At 40.3% G+C, this 24,424-nt stretch overlaps 1 long non-coding RNA gene across 2 annotated transcripts in view, besides 2 other annotated features; it reads right to left on the reverse strand.

Moving 5' to 3' along the window:
* LOC124906112 (uncharacterized) overlaps positions 1–24,424 on the reverse strand; it is a 204,201-nt gene that overhangs the window by 174,343 nt on the left and 5,434 nt on the right. The window lies entirely within an intron of this gene.
* Positions 12,673–13,408: an enhancer, noted in NCBI's record as "H3K27ac hESC enhancer chr2:201022335-201023070 (GRCh37/hg19 assembly coordinates)". NCBI's record gives its function as "activates a minimal SCP1, AML or CMV promoter by ChIP-STARR-seq in primed H9 embryonic stem cells {active_cell/tissue: H9 hESC(primed)}" and the evidence as "EXISTENCE:reporter gene assay evidence [ECO:0000049][PMID:30033119]".
* Positions 13,409–14,143: an enhancer, noted in NCBI's record as "H3K27ac hESC enhancer chr2:201023071-201023805 (GRCh37/hg19 assembly coordinates)". NCBI's record gives its function as "activates a minimal SCP1, AML or CMV promoter by ChIP-STARR-seq in primed H9 embryonic stem cells {active_cell/tissue: H9 hESC(primed)}" and the evidence as "EXISTENCE:reporter gene assay evidence [ECO:0000049][PMID:30033119]".

Below are 24,424 nucleotides of genomic sequence, written 5' to 3' on the forward strand. Positions count from 1 at the left end.
AAATGGGTTTTTCTTTTCTACTATGTGGCCAGACTGCAACTTTTCCAAATTTTTACACTCTACTTTCCTTTTAAATATAAGTTCCAGTTTTACATTATTTATTTGCTCACAAATATGAGTACAGGATGCTAGAAGCAGCCAGGCCATAACTTGAATGCTTTCCTGCTTAGAAATTTCTTCTGCCAGATACCCTAAATCATCACTCTCAAGTTCAAAGTTCCACAGATCCCTAGGGCAGGGGTACATTCCAACCAAGCTCCTTGCTAACTGATAACAAAAGTGACCCTTATTCCAGTTCCCAATAAGTTTCTCATTTCCATCTGAGACCACCTCAGCCTAGACTTCACTGTCCATACCACTATCAGCATTTTGGTCATAACCATTCAACAAGTCTCTAAGAAGTTCCAAACTTTCCCTCATCTTCCTGTCTTCTTCTGAGTGCTCCACACTCTTCCAACCTCTGCCTGTTACTCAATTCCAAAGCTGCTTCCATATTTGCAGGTATCTTTATAACAATGCCCCACTCCTAAGTACCAATTTTCTGTATTAGTCTGTTTTTGCATTGCTATAAACGAATACCTGAGACTGGGTACTTTATAAAGAAAAGATGTTTAATTGGCTCACAGTTCTGCAGGCTGTACAGGAAACATGGCTAGGGAGGCCTCAGGAAACTTAAAATCATGGCAGAAGGTGAAGGAGAAGCAGGCATGTCTTCACATGGCCAAAGCAGGAAGGAGGCAGGGGATGGTGCTACATACTTTTAAACAACCAGATCTCACAATAACTCAGTATCATGAGAACAGCACCAAAGTGGAAATCCACCCCCATGATCCAGTCCACCTCCCACCAGGCCCCACCTTCAACACTGGGGATTGCAATTTGACATGAGATTTGGGCAGGGACACAGACCCAAACCTTATCAATATCTGTGATATAACAACTATTATTTTTATCAATATTTATTGGGCATCTACCAGGTGCCAAATGCTGTTGTAGATGTTTGGGATTCAGCACTAATGATACACAAAGTTCCTGTCTCTGTGGAACTCACACTCAGGTGGGAGAGCGATAAAGCCAGGAAGTAACAAAGCCATAAAGAGCGGGATCAAAAGATAGTGACAGCAGCAAGTGCTTTTTAGATCAGCTAGTCCATAAGGATCTCTCAGAGGAGGTGACATTTGAGCAAAGACCTGGATGAAGCAGGTGATGGGTCTATCTAGGAATGAGACTCTGCACTGCATCTATTCACATGTCTATCTTTTTTAATGCAGGAGTCTGATTGACTTGTAGGCAGAAATGGTGTCTTAATTCATCTTTGTATTTTGGATCATTGTAGGGACTGAAAAAAGTTTGTAAAAATAAATGAATGGCACAAGCAACAAATGAAAATATAAATAAATTGAACTTCATCAAAATTTGAAACTTTTGTGTTTCAAAGGACATTATCAGAAAGTGAAAAGGAAACATACAAAATGAACAAAAAAATAGTTGCAAGTCATTTATCTGATAAGGTACCTAAAACATATTTATATATCTAAGATACCCAAAGAATTCCTACAACTTAGCAATAAGACAAATAAGCCAAATAAAAATGGAAAAAAGACATGAATAGGCATTGCTCCAAAAAAGATACACAAACGGCCAATGGGCACATGAAAAGATGCTCAAGATCAATAGTTCTTAGAGAAATGCAAATATAAACCATAATGAAATAGCATTTCACATTTGCTAGAATGGCTACAATAAAAAAAGACAGACAAAAACAGGTGCTGGCAAGGATGTAAAGAAATTAGAGCACATTGCTGAGTGGGAACGTAAAATCGTGCAGCCATTGTGGAAAATAGTTTAATATTTCCTCAAAAAATTAAATATGGAATTGCTATGTGATCAAACAACTCCACTCCTAAGAAAACTGAAAACATAACCATCCAAAACTTGTATGTGAATATTCATAGCAACATTATTCACGATAGCTGAAAAGTGAAAACAACTCAACTATTAATTGATAAATAAATAGAAAATCTGGTATATCCATACAATTAAATGTTATTCAGCCACAAAAATAAGTGAAGTGCTGATGCATGTTACAACATGGATGAGCCTTGAAAACATTATGGTATGTGAAAGAAGCCAGATGCAAAAGGTCACATATTGTTTAATTCCACTTATAAGAAATGTGCAGAATAGGCAAATCCATAGAGACAGAAAGTAGACAAATAGTTACCAGGAATCTGGAGGTGGAGGGATGGGGAATGAATGTCAATGGGTATGGGCTTCTTATTGGAATGATGAAAATATTCTGGATTAGATACCTGTGATGGTTAGACTTTGTGAAGAACTCAAAATCACAGAATTTTATACCATAAAAGTGTAGATTTTTTCATATGTGAATTATATCTTAATTTAAAAAAAGAATGAGTACATAAATAAGAAAACTTAGAAAACTAAGACTTTGTGAAAATACAACAAATATGAATTCCCAGAATGCTATATCCACCGTGAAATGGCAAAATACTACTATTTAGTTCCCACAGTTTTTCCTGCACTTAGTCAAAAGGTAGCCAGCTGCACCATCACTGATGACAGTATCCAGCCCATCAATAATAGAAGCAGTGAGCCCACACCAAGGCTCTGGCCACCAAGTCAGCATCCAGGGCTGAGAATTCCTGAGAACATCTGGATGATGCTATAGCTGGTTCAGACAGCACCCACACATCACTCCATTGCAGCTCTTTATAGCCCGAAAATTCTATAGAGAAAAAATTCACTCAGAACAAAAGATGTATGTGTGAGTTCATTCTATAACAAGCCAGTCACAGACAAGTAAAGCAAAGGAGTACATACTCATAAAAGAGAGAGAGAGGAGGAGGACTTTGAACAAAAAACAGTAAGCTCTTTAGATCCCGTTGTTTATGTCAGAAATCAATAGAGATGTTTTCCTTCACTTTGGAAAGTGAAAATTGGAATTTGTTGAAATTGGGTCTTGAGGCACTTAGATATTTTTTTCTTCATACTGGAACAATGGCATACATTCTGTCTACCAGAAGCTCTGAACACTAGGGCAAAAATGGTAGCAATAGTAGTGATTCTATACTTGGCCCTCTGTTCTCAGGATTGTGTAGAATAGGCTCAGAGGTATTAATGGACAATACCTGAAAAATGCCCTTAAGACATTTCTGGAAATATGTAAAATATTTTCCGTTGGTGAATGCTTGTTTCTGGAAATATCATCAGACTGTGATATTGACTAGATGGTATGAGAGAGAACATCATTGTAAATTTCTCTGAATGAAAATTTCATCTCAAAACAGGAAATGATTATGGTAAGTGAATGATCCTGAGATAAATCAGTTTTATGCAATGAACCAAAATTAGAGTGGTGGTGCATGTTAGCTAGCTTTATACACTTTGTTTTAATTAAGGTCTGATTACCATGGCTGCTACTCATTTACCTAATAACAGTGATTTGGTGTATCAAAATTAGAGAACCCCAGGGCTGGAACTCCGGGATCTGGGTGTGAGAGGGAGCATGTCACAGTAACCTCCTGTGCACAGACTGTAATTGCTGTAGGATTTTTCCTAAAGCCCCATGAAATTCATGGCAAAGAGAGCATTGTGTTGAGCTATGGAATAAGAAGCAGCTGTCTAGTAATGCCTCCAAATAAGCTTCTGCATTCTCCTGCTGTGACTAAGGAAATTCTTCACCAAAATCTCCCCTAGCTTGTTATATCTCTAAAAGATTCCCTCTTTCCCCTGGAGCAAGCGCTGTTATATAATTGAAATGAGAACATTCAGAATTACCTTTCTTTCTGTGCAGTGAAAGTTTATTTCTATGTTCTTTCATTTGAATGGACATAAGATTTGTAATAGGTTTTTCTGGGTTGATGGGCCCTTTAGGCTGATCTACAAGGCAGCTCTAGATTGGGCCAGTGTTACAAGTGCAAAGAGAGTAACTTGTCGATTATAGCATGTGAAAAGTTCTGTCTAATGAAACTATTTACACTGGACAAACCCTAACATTTCTACATTTTTCTTTCCTTAAATGACATTCCAGCCATTCTTTACCCTTCACCCTTGGCCATCCTGAGCTCTGGTGCCTAAATCCCAAACTGTGCATAGATGTGTTCTCCGTGTCAGGCAAGTTTTGATAAATTCAAACAAAAAGTTTCAAGAAGAATCTCCTGGTTTTAGAGCATATGTTGTATCATGATAATACTTGCAACAGGAAATGTATTGTGCCTGTCCCATCATTAGCTCCAAGGCAATACCTTCCCCCTGAGTTGCCATTATGAGCTGTATCTGACCCTGACTTCTTGGCTAAAGCTGATTGGGCCAGGGGCCAGCAACCAACCCAAAATCATCCATCAATAATGGGGGCCTGGTGAAGAAGACAATCTCAAATTTTTTAAATCTGGAAGAGCTGTTATTTTGGGCATCTTTCTACAACCTCTGCGTTGGGGGTGGAAATTAGAATGGCTGGATTCTGAATGATGAGATACCATTGTTCAATTTCTCAATTAAGACATGGCACCATGGCTATTTGTTTTCCTACATTTTCTAAACATTTTCTGCATATTTACAATAAACCACAGTATCAGGGTGGGGGGACCTTTTTTTGGCGATCTGAAGAAACCTATCTTGGTTCCTTGTAACCTCATGAAGCCTAACAAGACAAAGAGTGTAGATAAATGCCATGCAGGCAGGGATCACATCTTTTTGTTTACCACTGTATAGACATGGCTTAGACTAGAGTAAGGAGCTCAATCAATACACATTAAATGAATAAAAACTTGGTAGGAGCTTCTAAAATTTTTTCATGTGACTCCTTTAATGTTTCAGAAAAGAGAAAATTTATCCTCTGGATAAAATGAAGACCTGAAGACACGGCACAGCTGAGAGTGGATGAGGGACACCTTTCAGATACCTGGGGCACTGCAAGAAAATCTACATACTAATAAGCCAGACAGTCTGCCCCTTTCACCTGCTCAGTTGCTAGACTTTAGGATCATACCTCCTGTCAGGATAATGGATTTCTTCTTTGCAGGAATCATCCTAAAGAGAAAGTTCCTACAGATGCTGATATTGGTGAAATACCAATGATACACTCTTTTTCTCCAATATATCAACTGACAATGAAGCTCAGCAATTGGAAAGTTTCACCACACACATCAAATTTCAAAAGATAAGTGACTCACTCTAAAATATGAGATAACTAAGGACCACCAGACATTAGAGGAAAGCCACCAACATGAAAAGACGAAGTGCAAAACAAACAAATCAGAATCAGAAACAATGAAAATGGAAGAATACATGACATATAGGAAACAAAATAAAAATTAGGTAATAATAGAAATATTATCATCTGATAAGAGAGATACTGAATCATGAAACAAGGACAGGTGCTATAGAAAAGAAAGAAGAATTTTTTTAAAGACAACGGAAAAGTTTGTAAAACTGAGGAAATCTAAAAGACAGCAGAATCAAAAAGGAAACAAAATGAATAAGAAATGAAATGAAAATTAGAGTACAATCCAAGAAGTCTAATATCCAATTAATGGATAGAAAGAAATAGAACAGAGAAATAGAAATAGAAAGAACAGAGAAAAGAGAGGGGAAAGAGTTACTAATAAAATAATTCAAGAACATTTCTCAGAAATGAAAGTGATGAGTTTGCAAATTGAAAAGACTTATTGAATATGCAGCATAATTAAAGATAAAATAATCACTCTAAAACTTATAGCTATGAAATTTCAAAATATCAAGGATAGGAGTGAAGATCCTAAAAGCCACTTGAGATAAAAATAAAAAAACAAAGAGGCAAATCATAAATAACATTGATGTTCAGTTGCTGAAGAGCAACACTGAAGTGAGAAGGCACTGAAAACAATGGACTTGAAATTCTGATAAATAAAAATATTTCCAACTTAGAATTCTATATCCAGCTAAACTATACATCAGGAAATCATGAAGTCAGAATAGAGACATTTTCACATATGCAAGCTTACAAAGTTTTATCTCTCATTCACTCTTTCTCAAAAAACTATTGGCTTCACCACAATGAAGGAAATCATGGGATCCAGCAATTACAATCCAGCACAGGAGAGAACGGGCTAAGTCCCAGGACAACAACTGTGCAGCAGGCTTAGAGAGTAACCAGTTAAGATCAGGACAGGAGGATAAAGGGTTCCAAGAGCAGTATCTCTAAATAAGCTAATGGAGGTTTACAGTTCCTCATTAGGGAGTTTGGGAAGCACTTAGTGACAAATAGATCTAAAAGTCAAGGCAATTATTAACTCAGAGGAACCAGAAAGTTGAATAAGAAGATAAATCCTGCTTAATATGGATAGTTATAATTTATAGTAATGTAAATGCTGAATATTGATTTAAGATTGTGATATAATTTCATTGCTATGAAGATAAAGGGAACCAGATTATGTCTAGTAGTAGTATTAGTAGTAACCTCAAATTAGAAACAATCCAAGTATTCATCAACTGGTGAAAGAAAAAATAAAATGTGTTATATTCATAACAATGAATATTATTCATCAAAAAAGGCAACAAACTACTAATACATGCAACAACATGTATAACCTCTAAAAACATTATGTTAAGTGATAAAAGCCAGGCACAAGACTTCATATTGCATGATTTCATGTATATAAAATTTCCACAAAGGTAAATCTAGAAAGAGAAGGTAGAAAACTTGTTGCCTTGGCTGGAGATGGGGGTAGGGATTGACCACAAAGGGGCCTGAGGGAGCTTTCTCCGATGATGAAAATGTTCCAAAACTGGACTGTGGGTATGGTTGCACAACTCTATAAATTTACTAAAAACTTTTGAACTGCACATACATAATAGGTGAATTTTGTGGTATAAATTATACCTCAATAAAGCTGCTAAATAAAAACACCTCGAAATCATCATTTTACCCACCTTCCATGAATAATTTATCAGGAAATTTTGTTGGCTCTTCCTCGAATTCAAATTCCAATTTCGTCCATTTATCTACACCTCCACAGCCATCTCCCTAGACTGAGTCACTGTCATCTTTTGTCTTGTAATAACCTGTCGGGAGCAAGCCCCCCAAAATCTGGCCATAAACTGGCCCCAAAACTGGCCATAAACAAAATCTGTGCAGCACTGTAACATGTTTATAATGGCCCTAATGCCCAAACTGGAAGGTTGTGGATTTACAGGAATGAACGCAAGAAACACCTGGCCCATCCAGGGTGGAAAACTGCTTAAAGGCATTCTTCAGCCACAAACAATAGCATGAGCGATCTGTGCCTTAAAGGCCTGTTCCTGCTGCAGTTAACTACCCCAACCTATTCCTTTAATTCAGCCCATCCCTTCGTTTCCCATAAGGGATACTTTTAGTTAATTTAATATCTATAGAAACAATGCTAATGACTGGTTTGCTGTTAATAAATATGTGGGTAAATCTCTGTTCGGGGCTCTCAGCTCTGAAGGCTGTGAGACCCCTGATTTCCCACTTCACACCTCTATATTTGTGTGTGTGTGTCCTTAATTCCTCTAGCGCCACTGGGTTAGGGTCTCCCTGACCGAGCTGGTCCGGCATAACCTTCCAAATGATTGCTCTGCTTCCTGTGTCATCCCCATCTACTCCATGCTCCATAGACAACAAGAGAGAGCTTCTTAAAACACACACAGGCTGCCACACCCTGTGTAAAATGAATACTCATTGCACCGGAAAAACAACTCAATCTCTGTACCTGGACTTGTCATCAGGCTCTGTGCGTTTGTTTCTCACATCATTCCCTGATCCTCTGTCTCACTCTCGCCCTCTCTTCCTGACCTCCCAGCTCAGCTGGCCTCCTTTCTGTATCTCCAATGCCCCAAGCTCTTTCTCTCTTTACAGCTCCTTGCACACGTTCCTCTCTTCCTGCTGATCTTCCCTTTGCTCCGCATGGCTGGCTACTGCTCATTCTGCGATCAGCTTGCATCTGTCCTCCTCATGGAAACCTTTCCTGCCCACCTATCTGGGGTGGGTTACTCTTCCCATTGGCTATATCTCAACCCCATGCTTGCTTCCTCCTTGGTGGCCACTGCACTCACAATAATTGCATTTATGTTTTTGTTAACTTGTTTTGTGTCTATGTATCCCCCTTGCTAAAGACTTCATGGGGAAGAAGGGAGGGTAAGAGACTGTATCTGTCTAGGTAACTGTTATCCCCAGCACCCATCAGAGAGCATAGCACATCCTAGATCCTAGTGAATAAATGAACATTCAAGCGGTGTAGTACAGAGGATTACCACACTACATCCTAAGCTCTGTGACCTCAGGTTACCACTTAACTTCTCTAAATCTCCATTTCCTCATCTGTAAAACAGGAATACAACTGGCTACCTCCTAGTTTTGTTACGAGGGATAAATTACATAACATAGGTAAGAATATAGGTATGAAGAAGAGAGAAAACACAGTACCTGGCACCTTGAATGGGATACAATAAGTGCCATTAATATTAAAACTTCTACATAGCTGTCCTAGATAATTTTCAAACCATCTTTCTGTTTATTATTTATGATATCACTATGGAAAACAACTCTACCATTTCCACTTTTAATAATAAATTTAGGATGTGGAATGTATACTAAACTAGGTGAAGGTTCTTAAAGTCTGAATATTGTCAACCTTGCTAAATTAGCCTGTCTGAAAACGATAATTTCAGGTTAAAATGAAAAGCTATTCAATTGACATTCAACTGATCATAGGAAGAATTAAATGGAGTTAGCAAAAAATTCTTAATGAGTTTCATCAATATGATGTAGTGTTTTCCTTATCTTATTAATTGATGTAGCTTAGAAGTTGGGATGGTCTCACTTACGGAACATTTAAGCCTCCTGCAGGTGCACTGATAGGTCTGGGGCTAAGGATTCTCCGGTCCTGGGGTGAGGTACCACAGCCTGTAGGGCAGTAGTGCTCAAACTTAGCTTGTATCACAATCCCATGGGGAGCTTAAAAACTCAGATTTTTCCAGAGTTTCTGATTCTGAATGAATGTCTGGTGTAGGGTCTGAAGAATTCCATTTTTACGTTTCTAACAAATTTCTGGATGATGCTGGGATTACAGCCCCATGTGCTGCTGCTGGTCTGGGGCCACACTCTGAGAACACAGAAAAGCCTGGGGGTGAGCAGCAGTGAGCTGGTCCTCTGAGAGCTGCAGGGTCACCCCAGTTATAGTGTCCAGCCACAGAAACTCCTATAAGGTTCATTTATTCAACAAAAAATTTTTGAAGGTCCAACTCGGAAAACAGAACAGGGTAATTTAATTACGAGGAATCAGTGATACAGGTGATAGAGGGGCTGTAGCCAAACAGGATGGTGAGGCATCCCAGAAAATAGCAACAGGAAGAAATTAGCAATCCTAGAACTCCAGGACAGTAGGAGGAGGGAGTGTTGCTGGAATTCAGGAAAGGGGCCCTGGCGAAGCCAGAACCGCAGTGGGGCCTGTCTGATGGAACTGGAGCCACAGAGGAGATGCAGTCTCCACAAAGGATGCTGCCCTGGGCTGGCAGAAAATGAGAGAGAGAACCCCCTCATTTCTCTGTACCCACCTCAGACCCTTCCTACACACAAACACACACACACACACACACACACACACACACACACACACACAGAGCAGAGAATGGATTTGGGGGAAGACAGACAGGGCCTTCCCAGAGGGTCTACTAAATAGCTAGTGGTAGATGAGACAGACTAGCTTTGTGCCTTCGTTGAGCTTACAGTCTAATAGATTGACCAGGTGAAGCTTAACAGCCCTGTAAGACATTGGGTTCCCTGGGGGCCTTTGCTCTCTAGAGAAGTGATATGTGCCCCCCTCATTCCCCACACATTGGTATGTTGAAATCTAATCCAATGTGATGGTATTTGGAGGTAGGGCCTTTGGGAAGTGATTAGGCCATGAGGGTGGAACCCTCCTGAAAGGGATGAATGCCCTTATAAGAAGAGGCCAGGGAGCTAGTTCTCCTTCTTTCTGCCACATGGGGATACAAGATGTTGGCAGTCTGCAATCCAGAAGGCCTGCACCAGTGATCATGCTAGCACCCTGATCTTGGACTTCCACTTTCCAGAACTGCGAGAATTAAGTTTGTGTTGTTGATAAGCCATCCAGTCTATGGTATTTTGTTGTAGTAGCCCTAAAAAACTAAGACAAGAAGTATTTAAGTAAGCCGATCATGTCACTTCATAGATACACATATGAAAAGTAATCTGTGGAGGCAGCTGGGCTTCAAAATGATTGAAATTATACTTACAATACAGGACATTCTTGCTTGTCTGTTTAGGAGGAAAGTTATAGAAAGAAACATTTTTTTCTTTTGCCCAAATAATCATACTTGGCATGAAATTAATGTTTTGAAATGGAAAAGCTCCAAAAGTGGCAGTGGTTATCTTTTGAATTTATGAATATTGTTACTATCATGTAAGTTACATTAAAATTAATATGAGCCAAGGGTACATGTTGAGGAGAAAGGAATGGATCCCTCACTGAGCTTTTGTTGGGGACTACGGTTGTGCTGAGAAATGGAATTTTAGGTATGATGCATAATCAAGTGTGAACAGTGTAGCAGAGTGGGGCCTACAATAAAAACACGTGTCTGTCTTTACAGCTAGTGCTCTGCTCCACTCGACATCCTAGAATTAAGCACTTAAATCGGGTATCTTTAAGTTCTTGCCAGAAAAACCCCGAATTTCTCTTGTAAGGCTGATTTTTGGAAGGGAGAATGGGTGGGTGGCAGAATTAGAGAACTGTTCCTTTGAATGTTGTTCATATGGAATGCATTTGAATGAAATTGACATTTGGGGGAAAAGATTCTGAGGATATGAGATAACAGCAGAACTGTTTGCTGGCTATAGTCATATGGTAATGATATCAGCTTCGCCTGGGAGAAATGACAGCATAAAATCCAGCTGATATGCCAAGACAAAATGACATGAAATTGCATGTATTTGTCTAGACTATTATGGTAATAGCATTAGAGGGATAGGTTTCTGTTTCTTGGAAAGCAAATAATTTGAAGGCATACTTCATGCCCAGTATATCGTTGTAGCAATAAACAAGTGTCAGGAAACGTCTTTCTTCAGGATTAGATGTCACTGAGTAGCTTATTTAGGGTGATGGTATATTTTCCTCACAATTCTCAAATCTTAAGTGGACCATCTATACATCTTACTTTTGGGTCATCAACGGTGTTTATCTTTGTGGAAATAATGAAGTAGCTCCTATTAGTAAAAGAACACTATATTCTTCTGACAAAATTGAGTCAGTGCTAGTCTGCACGCACAGGTGTGCTTCACATGCTAAAATAAACGTGTTCCTGAAAGGTTACGTATAAATTGAGTCATTTTCCTATTGGCTTATATTATCTTGTCAAAGATGTTATGTCTTCCTTCCAGGTTGAACTTTAATTCACTTCTCACACTTTAACTTTCAGTTTCTCTTTACTCCTGAAATCTTTCCAAAGGGTTTTCATATTAATCTTGGTGATCTTAAAAACACAAAAATAGCCAGGAAACTTCACAACTTGGAGCATCCTTTTATTCAGACAAATATTGCTCTTTTTTTTTTTTTTGGATGGAGGGTGTTCCTATAAATAATAAACACATTTGGTTTTTATTGGAGAAAGTAAATTGAGTGAACGGGGAGTGAATGTGCCGTATTCTCTGTGCTGGCTGTGGCTGAGTCATTGGGGACTCCCATTGGATCCTAAGAGAACAAGATGATGTCACAGGCATTTCTCAATCACCATCACTTTGGAACAAGCTGCTACTTCAAGGTGCTAGGAAAAGGTCAATATTCTGATACTTTTAGTATTCTCCTTCTTGTCTTTCTGGTAAAATGATGAGGGACTACTATATGGTACACATATATGTAAAAAGTCTTAGAGTCACTGTTATCACATTTTGTATGATCAAGCACTGAAAGTGCTTATCTGAAACCAGATGTTCAGTTCTCAGTAGTCAAGAGTCACATTAATTTCTCTTTTCCCTCTTATGCCATTGTTTAGTAGTCTATCATGTAATAGACGTCAGATTGTGGTCATACAAATCTGTATTTGAATTTCATCTCTGACATCTACCAACCATATGACACATCTGTGCCTCAATTTTCTTCCTTTAAAATGGACTTATCAAGCACTATCTTGTATGGCTGTAGCAAAGATTAGTAATAATATATGTAAATTACATAGCACAATGCATGCATATAATTAATACTCAACAAATGACAGTTGTCATCATTGTCTTCTTCCTCATCATCATCGAAGTTATTTATTGATACCTCTTCATTACCACTAGATTTAGAGACCTATAAATTCAGGACTTAGCATAATGCCAGACATACTAGGCACCGAATAATTATTTATTAAAATAATTCATACATAAAATTTGGCATATGCACTATGCATCTGTGAACTCCAGATTCCTCAAGCCCTGCCAGCCTATGGATACAAAATAATCAAGATTTACTGACTTTTACACACCTGTTCATACAGCTCTCTAGTCTCCTAAAATATGCTTATTGAACATTTCTGTGTGTCTCCAGGGTTATCTCATATGTGCATAGAAAGAAGCTTCATTTTGCAGGGTTCCTCCTCCATTGTCATCAGCCAATGTACCAAAGCCCTGAAGGTACCAAGCTCCACAGCAGTTGATGCAGAGTGGTGTTGGGGTGCCTCTCTCCATTAAGTATTGTTTCCATTAGAAGGGCTCCTAGGTAGGTGGATCACGAGGTCAGGAGTTCAAGACCAGCCTGGCCAAGATGGTGAAACCCCATCTCTACTAAAAATACAAAACATTAGCTGGGCATGGTGGCATGCACCTGTAATCCCAGCTACTCCGAAGGCTGGGGAAGAGAACTGCTTAAACCTGGAGGGGCGGAGGTTGCAGTGAGCCAAGATCGTGCCACTGCCCTCCAGCCTGGGCGACAGAGTGAGACTCCATCTCAAAAAAAAAAAAAAAAAAAAAAAAAAAAGAAGGGCTCCAAAGTAGTGCTGCTTGGGAATCAATGTTACTGGCACCAGCATGAGGCACTGGGTGTACGCTCAGGAAGGAGTAGAGAGACAGCACCATGCCATATTCGAAATCAGCTCCCTTCTCTGGCTGAGGCTCTGTGCATCAGGTCTAGAGCCTGGTTTCTTCCTCTGTAGGATGAATTACTTTCAGGAAGCAGCTCAGCTCCTCTTGAAAATAGGTACTGCTCAGGACTGCCCTGGTGGCTCATGAGACATGCTAGGACACTTCTGAACTCCTGTAATTGGACACAATATTGGGTCAAGGCCCAAGTCCTGCTATGTAGCTAAATGCTGGTTTGAAAATCAACATAACACCTTACTCTGCAATGGTCACAACCCATACTTCCGGAAAAAAAAAAGTTCACTTATTGTTTTCTTTCAACATTACTAAAAGTGTCTTATGGGAACCTAAGGTTTCCTTTTAGGAAGCTATATGAGAGGACAGAGCACAGCACAACAAGAAATCCAAAACATGTCTATTCACACTGATCACAGGACTCAAGGAACTGCCAGACTGCTCTAGTTCTAGAGTTCCTTCTAGGAAAGTTTATAGACAAAGCAAAAATTGCTCCTATACAAGTCTGGCACCAGGAACCATAGGGTTAACCCTCTGTCACCTCATACTAGGAACCAGGTGGCAGTGGAACAGGCATGAATCAGGACTGGCCCCCTTTATCAATCAAGTATCAGCTAATTACTAGAGCTCTGCAGAATCCTAGAGAACCCAAAGCACTGGGGAGTATTTGCAGCTGCTTAAGGGAACAGGCCATGAAGACCAGTGCCCCAGTTCAGGCCATGCATTAAGAGGAAAATCTGGGCCAATGGCTAGACAGAGTGCCTGGGAGAGAACCAGCTTTGAGGAAGCACATTTACCAACAAACGACTGCTAAGCACTTTGCAGTTGTCAAGTTCCTAGGCACTGAATAATAATGAGAGGGGGCTTCAGAGGGTGATGACTAATGGCCCCTCTATTTCCTGCTGATGCTGGCAATTTTCTGTCATTTTGTTTTTATGTTAATTTATGCTCACAGGATTAGAATGTAGCATTATATGGTCATTTAATTTAATTGAAGTATGGAACTTCATGGGCCCATTTTTGCATTTCTCAGAGATTTTGGTGATTTTTTTCTTTAGCATTTAATCTTCCCCCCAGATCACCATTCCTAATGGCAATAATAATACATTGACACTTGCATCACACTTTTCCTTCTAGGAGCTCCAAGCATGTCATGGCCCATTACTCCCACAAGAGCTCTGCAAGGCAAATGCCAGGGAGGATTTTAAGCACTTTCTTAGCTTTAACATACATAAAAAGGTGCAGCCTTTATCATAGAGATAAGCTCTCAGCCATTTAAATTACTTTTGAATGCAATGAGAAGCTTTGCTTATGCATGAGGTTTCCACTGTGCTTTGTGATTTTCATACTGCAGAAATATGTGACCTTTAAGCCTGACAGCACTGCTCAGAGTACATGTAACTTATCAGGGAGTTTTCATTGATCACCCCACCTCCTTCTCATAAGGAATGTAGTGTTTGTGTCACACTGCCTGGAAAAACTGCCCAAGGGCAAGGGAAAGCACCAATTGAGACATGGAGGAGAGAATGCAGGGTTAGTGAACTCACCCTTTAAAAGCCACAACACTAGAATGTCCCTGGTGAATACAGATGGACCAAAGGAGCATCCTGAGGCCAAGTGGCTCTCTGGATCCATTCTTGCTCTTTCTGAAGAGCCTCACAAGCATCCACTTGAAGACACTGGCATTCAGCAGTCTTTCTTCCGAAGGCCAAAAGAATAAGAAAAAAGCCACAGCATATTTCTGCTGTAGAAGGAGCATATCACCAGCCTGACAGAGGAAGCCCTCCCCTGTTTCTGAAATAAGGGGCCATGGAAAGAGAAAAAATAGAGGGGTGTCACATTTGCATTTCCCTAAAGGACCAGAGAAGTAGCTGGGGCTTTTTTCTCTTATTAGAACATCAGGCAAACACCATCTGGCCCAGGTCTTCAGTGGATTGCAGGATTCTGTGCTGACAGCCTGCCTGTGTCTATTGTGGCAGGGGAGGAGGGACATGAGAGGTGGGGTCTGGAGCAATAGCGACAGTTCTGCCCACAGGTCCTGCCCACTGACTCATCGCATATTCTGTTTTACCCCAAATGGGTATACTGCAATCAGTTCTGGTACTAACCACGCAGAGTTAGTGTAGACCCCACAAGTTAGGGACTCAGTCCTCTACAAGATTGTCTCCATTTCAGATGGAGCCAGCCACAAGTGGAGTCCCCAGGCCACCCACACTTCTGACCAACCGGCTACAACTCCAGAGGAGTCTCATAACACTGCTTTGGCTCAACAACTCACTAAAATGACTCACAGAACTCAGGAAAGCACTGCACTTACAATTATGGTTTTGTTACTGGTGGTGAATCCACACGGGTCTGCAGCAACCTCAATTCTTGACTCCTCGGAAGAAATAATTCGACTGAGAGGCATGAGGCAGAGGAAGAGACCGAGGCAAGTTTTAGAGCAGGAGTGGACATTTATTAAAAAGCTTTAGCATAAGAATGAAAAGAAAGTAAAGTACACTTGGAAGAGTGCCAGTGGGGAAACTTGGAGGTCAAGTGTGAGCTTTGACCTTTCGGCTTGGGGTTTTACATGTTGGCATACCTCCAGGGTCTCGCATCCTTTCTCTACTGATTCTTCCCTTGGAGTGGGCTGTGTGCACACACAGTGGCCTGATAGCATTTGGGAAGTAAGCATGTGCAGTGTGTTTACCGGAGTTGTAAGCATGCTCACCTAAGGCATTCCCTTTTCTGGTGGAATGGCCCCAGAAGGTCATATACCAGTTAAACTCCGCCATTTTGAGCCCACTTGCCCAACTCCTGAGATCTTATTGGGAAGCTGATGATCAGTTTCAGGTGTTTCTATCTATTAGGAAACTGCCTTTCCCTGGTGCTGGTTGTGACCTATTATTATTTTAGAGAGACAGTTAACTGCCTGACCATCACCTGATGGTCACCTGACATTCCTGGATGGGGGGTCGGTGGAGGGCTCTCCTGCCCTGCTTATGTCTTCCCGACTAGCTACCTGTTACAACAGTTTTATTTAAAAATATATAAATCAGACTAGCCAAATTAAGAAACATATAGGGAGAGGTCTGGGAGGGTCCTAAACACGGAGCTTCTATGTCCGCTCCTCATGGAATCAGGATGTATCACTCTCCTGAGATATCAGTGTGTTCACCAATCATGGCCTGGAGCACAGTGACTCAAGCCTGTAGTCCTAGCTATGTGGGAGGCTGAGGTGGGAGGATGCCTTGAGCCCAAGAGTTTGAGGCTGCAGTGAGCTATGAAGGCACCATTTCATTCTAGCCTGAGCAACAGTGAGACCTCGTCTCAAAAATAAAATAAAATAAAATAAAATAAAATAAAATGAAAATGTATTCACCAATCAGGAAGCTCCGCTGAGCTTCAGTGTCCAGAGTTGTTTTTTTAATTGGTATAGCATTACACAGGCATGAGTGATTAAATCACTGGCCAAGGATGTAACTCAATCTCTGGCTCTCCTTTTCTCAGAGGTTGAACTGGCTCAATGTTCCAACCCTCTCATCACATGGCTGGCTGGTCTTTCCAATGACTAGTCCCCATCCTGAAGCTACCTAGGGGCTCACTTTGAGTCATCTCATTAGCATAAACTCAGGTGGGATCCAGGGGATTCATGAATAACAAAGACTGTTCTACCACTTGGCAAATTCCAAGGGTTTTAGAAGCTCTGTGCCAGGAACCTGGGACGAAGACCGGACACGTTCTTCCTTACACAATAAGAGGCTCCTGAATCATGAAACAGCAGATATTCCCACAATGGAGGTTCACAGAGCCCCAAGGAAGAGAATGTAGAGAATGAATACTTGAAAGTAGAGTGTTAGAGACCATTAACGGTTAGGGGCCAGGAGAAGAGAGACATTTGGCTTACTTACTAAAATACTCACATTTGACCATTTCTTAGTTCTAGCACCTTTGAGACTGGGTTGTCTGTATCAGTTAGGTATTGACGGGTAGCCTTCTTTAATTATTTCAACACTGACAAACCAACAGTAGGGCCTATATGCTCACCGTTTTTATTATACTTAGTTTGCAGTTTTTCTCCGTTGTGCTAAATCCACAGAAATATTATATGTCCAGCCAGAATTCTGGTACATACTTGTGTTGGCAATTCTCTTTGCAATCCTTTTAAAATCCTTCGCTAAGGTTTTCATAATCAAGTGATACAAATGCAATCAAGCATATGATGTACCACAACATAGGATGTACTAAGTTATGACTACATAGATTTGAAATATCTATAAGGCACATGAAATGGGCATGACTTTTCATCACAATTGGGCTTGCAAGAGCTGTCATATTATTTTATTTTATTTAAATCTGACTTAGAAACCCCATCCACTGACCCCATTGTAGAGAATTTAATTCTTGCTTATTATCAGACCTTTTTCTTCACTCCCCACCCTCAGAGTCATTACAACAAAATATCTGTGAGGCCATCCCCATATCTGCCCCATACTAGCAACTACTAATAAATTCACTGTCAGAGACCACATGAGTCCTTAAATCCAGGGGCTTTATTAAGGAAATACAAATTAAAACCACTAAGAGATAACACTACACGCCTATTACAATGGCAATAATAGGAAATTACTGAGATACCAAGTACAGTTGAGGCTGCAGAACAACTGGAACCCTCATACGTTGCTGATGGAAACGTAAAATGGTGCAGCAGCTCTGGAAAAGTGTGGCAATTTTTTATAAACTTAAACAGGAGGGCATATGACCAGAAATTCTAATCCTGGATAATTACCATGAAATAAAATCTTATGTTCACACCAAAATCTGTGGATGAATGTTTATAGCAACTTTATGTGTGCTCATCAAAAGCTGGAAACAACCCAAATGCCCTTCAAAGGGGGAGGGGATAAACAGACTGTGGTGCATCCATACTATGGAATACTACTCAGCCATAAAAAGAAATAGCTAGCGATGCACACAACATGGATGAATCTCAAAGACATGCTAAGTGAGAGGAGTCAGTCTCAAAAGGATACACACTGTATTATTCCATTTATTTGATATTCTCTGTAAGACAGAACTATAGTGATGGAAAACGAATCAATGGTTTCTAGGGGTTACGGGTGGGGGCAGGCTGTGACTGTAAAGGGGCAAAAGGGGGCTTTGAGAGGGTGACGGAACTGTTCTGTATCTTGATTACATGAATCTCTAGGACACATTAATCTATGTTAAAATGTATAGATCTGAACAAAACAGTTGATTTTACTATAAAATAATTTTTATTTTTTATTATTTAAAAAGATTTTTATATGATCATTTTTTAATAAAACGTAAAAACAAAACCTATCCAAGGGCATGTTCCTTCTATGCCATATTTGGGTGCAAAACTACAGGTTCTGGGGCTCCAGTGCCTGGGGTCAGTCTCCCTAGGCACAGAGGGCATTTCCCTTAAACAAAACAAAACAAAACAAAACAAAACAAAACAAAACCCCTGCTACTTCCCAGAGGGGAACAAGAGAGACTGTGGACCTTGCCCTGCTTTACAGAATGTTCACCCTCTCTGACAGTCTTTGGCCTACTCTTCTCCAGTCTCTTCCTTGTCAGGGGACACACTTGCTTAGTTTTCACAGACTTTCAGGAAAGCCAGAAAGAGAAGTTGTTTCAAGCAGTTTCTGCTTTCAGCTCTTCAAATAACCCTGAAGCAAGAAGTACAAAGGCTGTGACCTCTTCTAGGAAAGAGAAAGGAGGAAATAAAGAGAATAAAACACAAATGTTACTTATCCATGAAAAGCACTGTGAAAGCATTGTTCACAACCCAGCTGGGCGCGGTGGCTCATGCCTGTAATCCCAGCACTTTGCAAGGCCAATGCAGGTGGATCACCTGAGGTCAGGAGTTTGAGACCAGCTTGGCCAACATGGCAAAACCCCCTCTCTACTAAAACGAAAAAAATTAGCTGGGTGTGGTGGCAGACACCTGTAATTCCAGCTACTCAGGAGGCTGAGACAGGAGAATTGCTTGAATCCGGGAGCTGAGATTGCGCCACTGCACTCCAGTCTGGGCAATAGAGCGAGACTCTGTCTCAAAAAAAGAAAACGAAAAGCATTGCGCACATAATGTGCACGTGTGCGTGTAAGTTTATGTGAATTAACCAAGGAACAGAAGGCAACCAAAGGTGAAGCAGGGAGGGACAAAATCACCCAGGAGCACCCGTCCCTGACAGTGTAAAGGAGACAGCTCACCTGCTGGGAAATGAGTGACATTTGAAGATCATCAGGCCAAGCTAAATCCACATCTCTGGCCCAATGGTTGGAAAGGGGCCAGCAAGCGCCTTGTGTAGACCAATACCAGGACTTGCCCTAAGACTGAAGATATGCAATATGGCAAACAGCCACAGAGATTAAAAGGAGAATTGAGGCTGGGCACTGTGGCTCACACTGGTAATCCCACCCTTTTGGGAGGCAGAGGCAAGAGGATCACTTGAAGCCAGGTGTTTGAGGCCAGCCTGGGCAACATAGTGAGATCCCCATCTCTATAAAAATTTTAAAAACTAGCCAGGTGTCATATCTCAGGCCTGTACTTCTTGTTGCCTGGGAGGCTGAGGCTGGAGGCTCGCTTGAGCCCAGGAGTTCAAGGCTGCAATGAGCTATGATCACACCACTGCACTCCAGCTTGGACAACGAATGAGACCCTTTCTCTAAATAAAAAACAGGAGATGGGGATATTGGCCAGGGCTAAGCTTCATTGTGTCTACACAAAGGTGTCAGAGGAGACACACAAGTGAGACTGAAATCCAACCCAATCCAACCCACACTCTGCCTTCCAAGCCATGAGTCTCATGATATTGAAATATGGCAGAGCGATTTAACATAAAAGTTTTTAAATTCAGAAAACACTTTAGAAAGATTACATATATTCTAGTTGAATTAGAATAATTAGGCACATAACTTTGCCCCCAAACTTTCTGAAAACCAAGAGGAAAGAAAAATCTCATTGAAACCTTCACCTCCTAATTATTCAATAAAAGGAAATCTTTAAGTTATTTTATAGAAGCAAGCTATACTAGAAATAAGTATCACTGGATTTTACTAAAGGGGGCTTTGAGAAATATAATGTATAGTGTTATTGGTTACAAAATATACAAAGGCATTCTTCAAATGAACATTTCCTGCATCTACCTTCTAAAATGTCAACATAAGGAACAAAGATAACATCTGGACATATTCCTTTCTAATTTTCTGAATTAATAACAAGATTAAATGCAGGGCCAGGCACCAGCAGCTCACGCCTGTAATCCCAGTGCTTTGGGACGCTGAAACAGGTGGATCACTTGAGGCCAGGAGTTTGAGAACAGCCTGGACAACATGGTGAAACCCCATCTCCACTAAAAACACAAAAATTAGCCAGGCGTGGTGGCACACACCTGTAATCACAGCTATTCGGGAGGCTGAGGCAAGAGAAATCACTTGAACTCAGGAGGTGGAGGTTGCAGAGAGTCAAGATTGTGCCACTGCACTCCAACCTGGCAACAGGGCGAGACTTCTTCTCAAAAAAAAAAAAAAAAAAAAAAAAAGCAAGATTAAATGCAGAAAACACAGCATTCAATGGGCCACTAACACATGGAATTTTCAAAGTAGTCACATATCCACAGGCACACTAAACACTTGCAGGACAGCTCTCTGGGTGGCCTCAAACCTTCCCCTTTCTCACTTGTTCTCAAGAATAATTGTAGAATGTGCAGGGAATGCAACAACCTGAGATAAGGATGAATTGGCTGGAAGAGCTTGGGCTCTGTTTCTGTCCCTTCTAGAACAGGGTGTCCTACAACACTTGAGCCCAGCAAGTCTAATTACCCTGGGGTATAAAACCCAAGGCTGGATGCTTTTCCACATTCCTCCACTGTGGTCCAAGTAGTGCACATGCAGATGAGATTCCAGTTGCCCTGCACAGCTTTTCTGAGCCTCAAGGGACTGGCTCACCATGAATTCTAGGCTTCTACTGTCCCTCACTGCCTATCTATAAAGTTGCTTCCCTTAACCTGTGTGCAAGCGTTCTATCTCACTGGACTCACTCAAGTGATAAAATTGGCGCAGCTCAAGGTGCAGTGGACAGGCATTTAGAGTCCTCCCTTGGTATTGATATCCGTGCACCATGAACTGCTTGAAGCACTGTCTATGAATCAAATAAATAAAAGAAAAATTCAGATCACATGATAGCTAGCAAATTATCTTTTTACTTAGACAGAGAAATCCTGACTGACACATCATCTATGTAGTGCTCCAGTCAAGCCAACAATGCAAAACCTGAATCTAATCATGAATGCAAACAGCAAAACTAAAAATATGGAACATTCTATTAAAAATAGGGGTGGGGACTATATTCTCCAAAAATGTTAATATTATACAATACTAAGAAAGGCTGTAAAAATGTTCCAAGTTAAAGGAGAGATGACGACTAAATGCGGTACCTTAGCCTAGCCTGGATCCTATACTAGAAGGGAGAAATGTGCTACAAAAGGCATTGCTGGATCCATTAAGTATGATATAGATTAACTAAAAGGCATTGTATCGATGTATCACTGTATCAGTGGTTTTACATAAGAATATCCCCTATTCTTAGGAAATATACACTGAAACATTTAAAGATTAAGGTCATGATGTATGTAACATCTTTAAATGGTTCATAAAAATATTATATTGGGAAAGAGAGTGAAGCAGGACATAAATGATAAAGTAAATGAGATAAAATGTTCACAATAAATGAATCCAGGTAAGTATAGTTCTTTATTTTCTCATTCTTGCAAATTTTCTGTAAGTTTAAAATTATTTCCACATAAAAAATCTTTTCTAAAAATACTTTAAAATGGAATCCTAATGCTCAACAAAATTGAGAACCACCAAGTTCAAAGTGTGAGTAGTTAACATACTTCCAGTGGAAGCCTTCTTTAGGCTGAATCACAGTAAATGTACACTTCAATTCTAAAAAGTGTCTACAAGTTTACAAACTTCATTGTTGACTGGAAAATGACCCTCACTATTTAGCTGGCAGTCAGGGAGCATTCAGTTCTGAAAACTTGGAGCCTCCCATTCTTAGATCACCAAGCCACTTTTTCAAGGAGGTGAGTTTCTAGAATGCCTAGGGACATGATTCCTCAGCCACAGAACTTAGAAAGATTTTTAAAGTTCCATATTTCAAAGGAAAATCTCAGCTGCTTGTAAGTGTAGACTGACAAATGAAATCAGTCTTTCTTCTATGTTTTTATCTTAAGGAATAACTCTGCACTGACTCTTCAAAGAGCCCATGATCAATTCTGACAGGCAAAGAATATTAATAAGAGTGTCAAGAAGGTGGGTCTGACGTTTGAAAATTTGATGAATTCAGAGTGGCACCAGGAGAACAACAAACTAAAATCAAACTGAGCATCATTAATCCCATTAATGTTGGGGTATTAGTTTTCCGTGTAGACGGGACACTGAATATCTAGCTCCTCATCAATGCAATCTTCTCAGTCTCCTAAGGGATACCTGAATTGGGTTAAGCAATGCCATACCATATGTCCAGAGGTGAGACCCTCACGCTGTAATAGCCTTGTAGACTATGACTTGCCTTTCATCACACCTTCAGAATTCTAAATTTTATCCCAAACTAAATCTGGATCTCCCCAAAGGAGAAGTGGGTGGAGAAGAGGAAGAGATTCTGTATTATGTTACTTCCTGAGAATGCTCTTTCATTAATCTTTGCTCGGAAGGTGCCTTTGGGTGGTTCTTGGTGCAATGAATAATGTTCACACACAATCTTTCCTGTCAAACATTATACTCACTCTAAAGTCTGCCGACAGTTTGGGAGCAGTGTCTTTTGCTATTATGTTTTCCAATTGGCTTTCTATTTCACTTCAAGAAGTGTGGAAACACCTGATTTATAAAAGACTGGCTTAAAAAGCGTAATTTCCATTGCTTCCTTAGTAACTGCCTCAAATAAGCGGAGGAGGGCAATTTGGCTTGAACTTGCTTTGAGAAGCTTTAAGTTTAATTTATACATTGGATAGAGCTCTCCAACTCATTGAAATTCTACTTAATGCATCCTCAGAAAACACCTGAAAGACAAGAAAAATATGTGCATGACCCTATAGTTAAGGCAACAGCTGTGTGTTTGTGAATCACATCTTAAAGCAGATTTCTGTTTTTCTCCCCTACACTATCAGAACATATGAAAAACAGAATTTCAATGACTCAGAAACTATACCACAGTTGATAATTAGGCCAGTTTCTCGAAGGTACCTTAATCTTCTTACTTCCTTAAGCATCTGTCTACAGTTTGTCCATGTTATACCTGATGTATTTTCTCCAATAACCTCATTTATGGGGCATAGCTCAAAAGTCAGTAGCAGAGAACTGACAGTTTGCAAAGAGAGGAGGTTTAATTTAATATGTGCAGGCACCAGAGTCTCTTAGAAGGTGACTGGTGCCAAGAAATTTGGAAGGTCATTATGTGGAATATCTACAGCACAGTATCTTTTGAACCTTTTTAATGGGTAAGGAGGAACATTTCTGCATAATGGTATGAGGCTCATTGTACACTTGTCCTCAATGCTGTCAGTCACCTGCATGGATCTAAGATGAGTTTTAAAAATGTAGGCTCACACTAAGCTGAACAAGCAGTTTGGAAGCTCCCCTCCACCTGAACTGCTGCGAGTTTCTTAGAAATTGCTTCTCAAACTTCAGTATGCATACGAATTACCCAGGGATGTTGTTAAAATGCAGATTCCAACTCAGAAGGCCTGGGGTAGGACCTGAAGTTAGGCGTTTCCAGCAGGCCTCCAGGTGATGCTGGTGCTTCCGGTCCATTATCTACACTTTGAGTAACAAAGGCTTAGAGGAGAATGTTTCCCAAGTTTCTTTGCACATATGGCAGCAAGGACTGGGATACTGGGGTTTCTGCCAGTCTCCTGCCAAGCTGGTAGATGCTTTTTAGATTCATCCTTCGTATTCATTCATATTTTTTTCTGTCAACCACAGAAGGTTTTTCTGTAAAAAGCAAAGATACTAAGGCAAGAATTCAAAGAATTTATTTGAATCACTGAGATAATAGTCTTGTGCTTTACTTTGGTATTAAGGACCTGATTTTTTGCGGGGTGGGAGGAGAGGAGAGTGAAGCTTTTAATCCCAAATACTACAGCATGCACATAGTAATTTAGAAAAGTGAGCAGCAAAACTTGCACGAGGATGATTTTGCTGTGTTCTATGATTTTGTTCTCAAGTAAATAATGAGGCCGGTGTGGGATTGCCACGTTTTGCCATAATTTAGACAATTGTTTCCATGTGCGGAAGTTGAGTCAG

This window comes from Homo sapiens, chromosome 2 (assembly GCF_000001405.40).
Source record: "Homo sapiens chromosome 2, GRCh38.p14 Primary Assembly".
Lineage (NCBI taxonomy): Eukaryota > Metazoa > Chordata > Mammalia > Primates > Hominidae > Homo > Homo sapiens.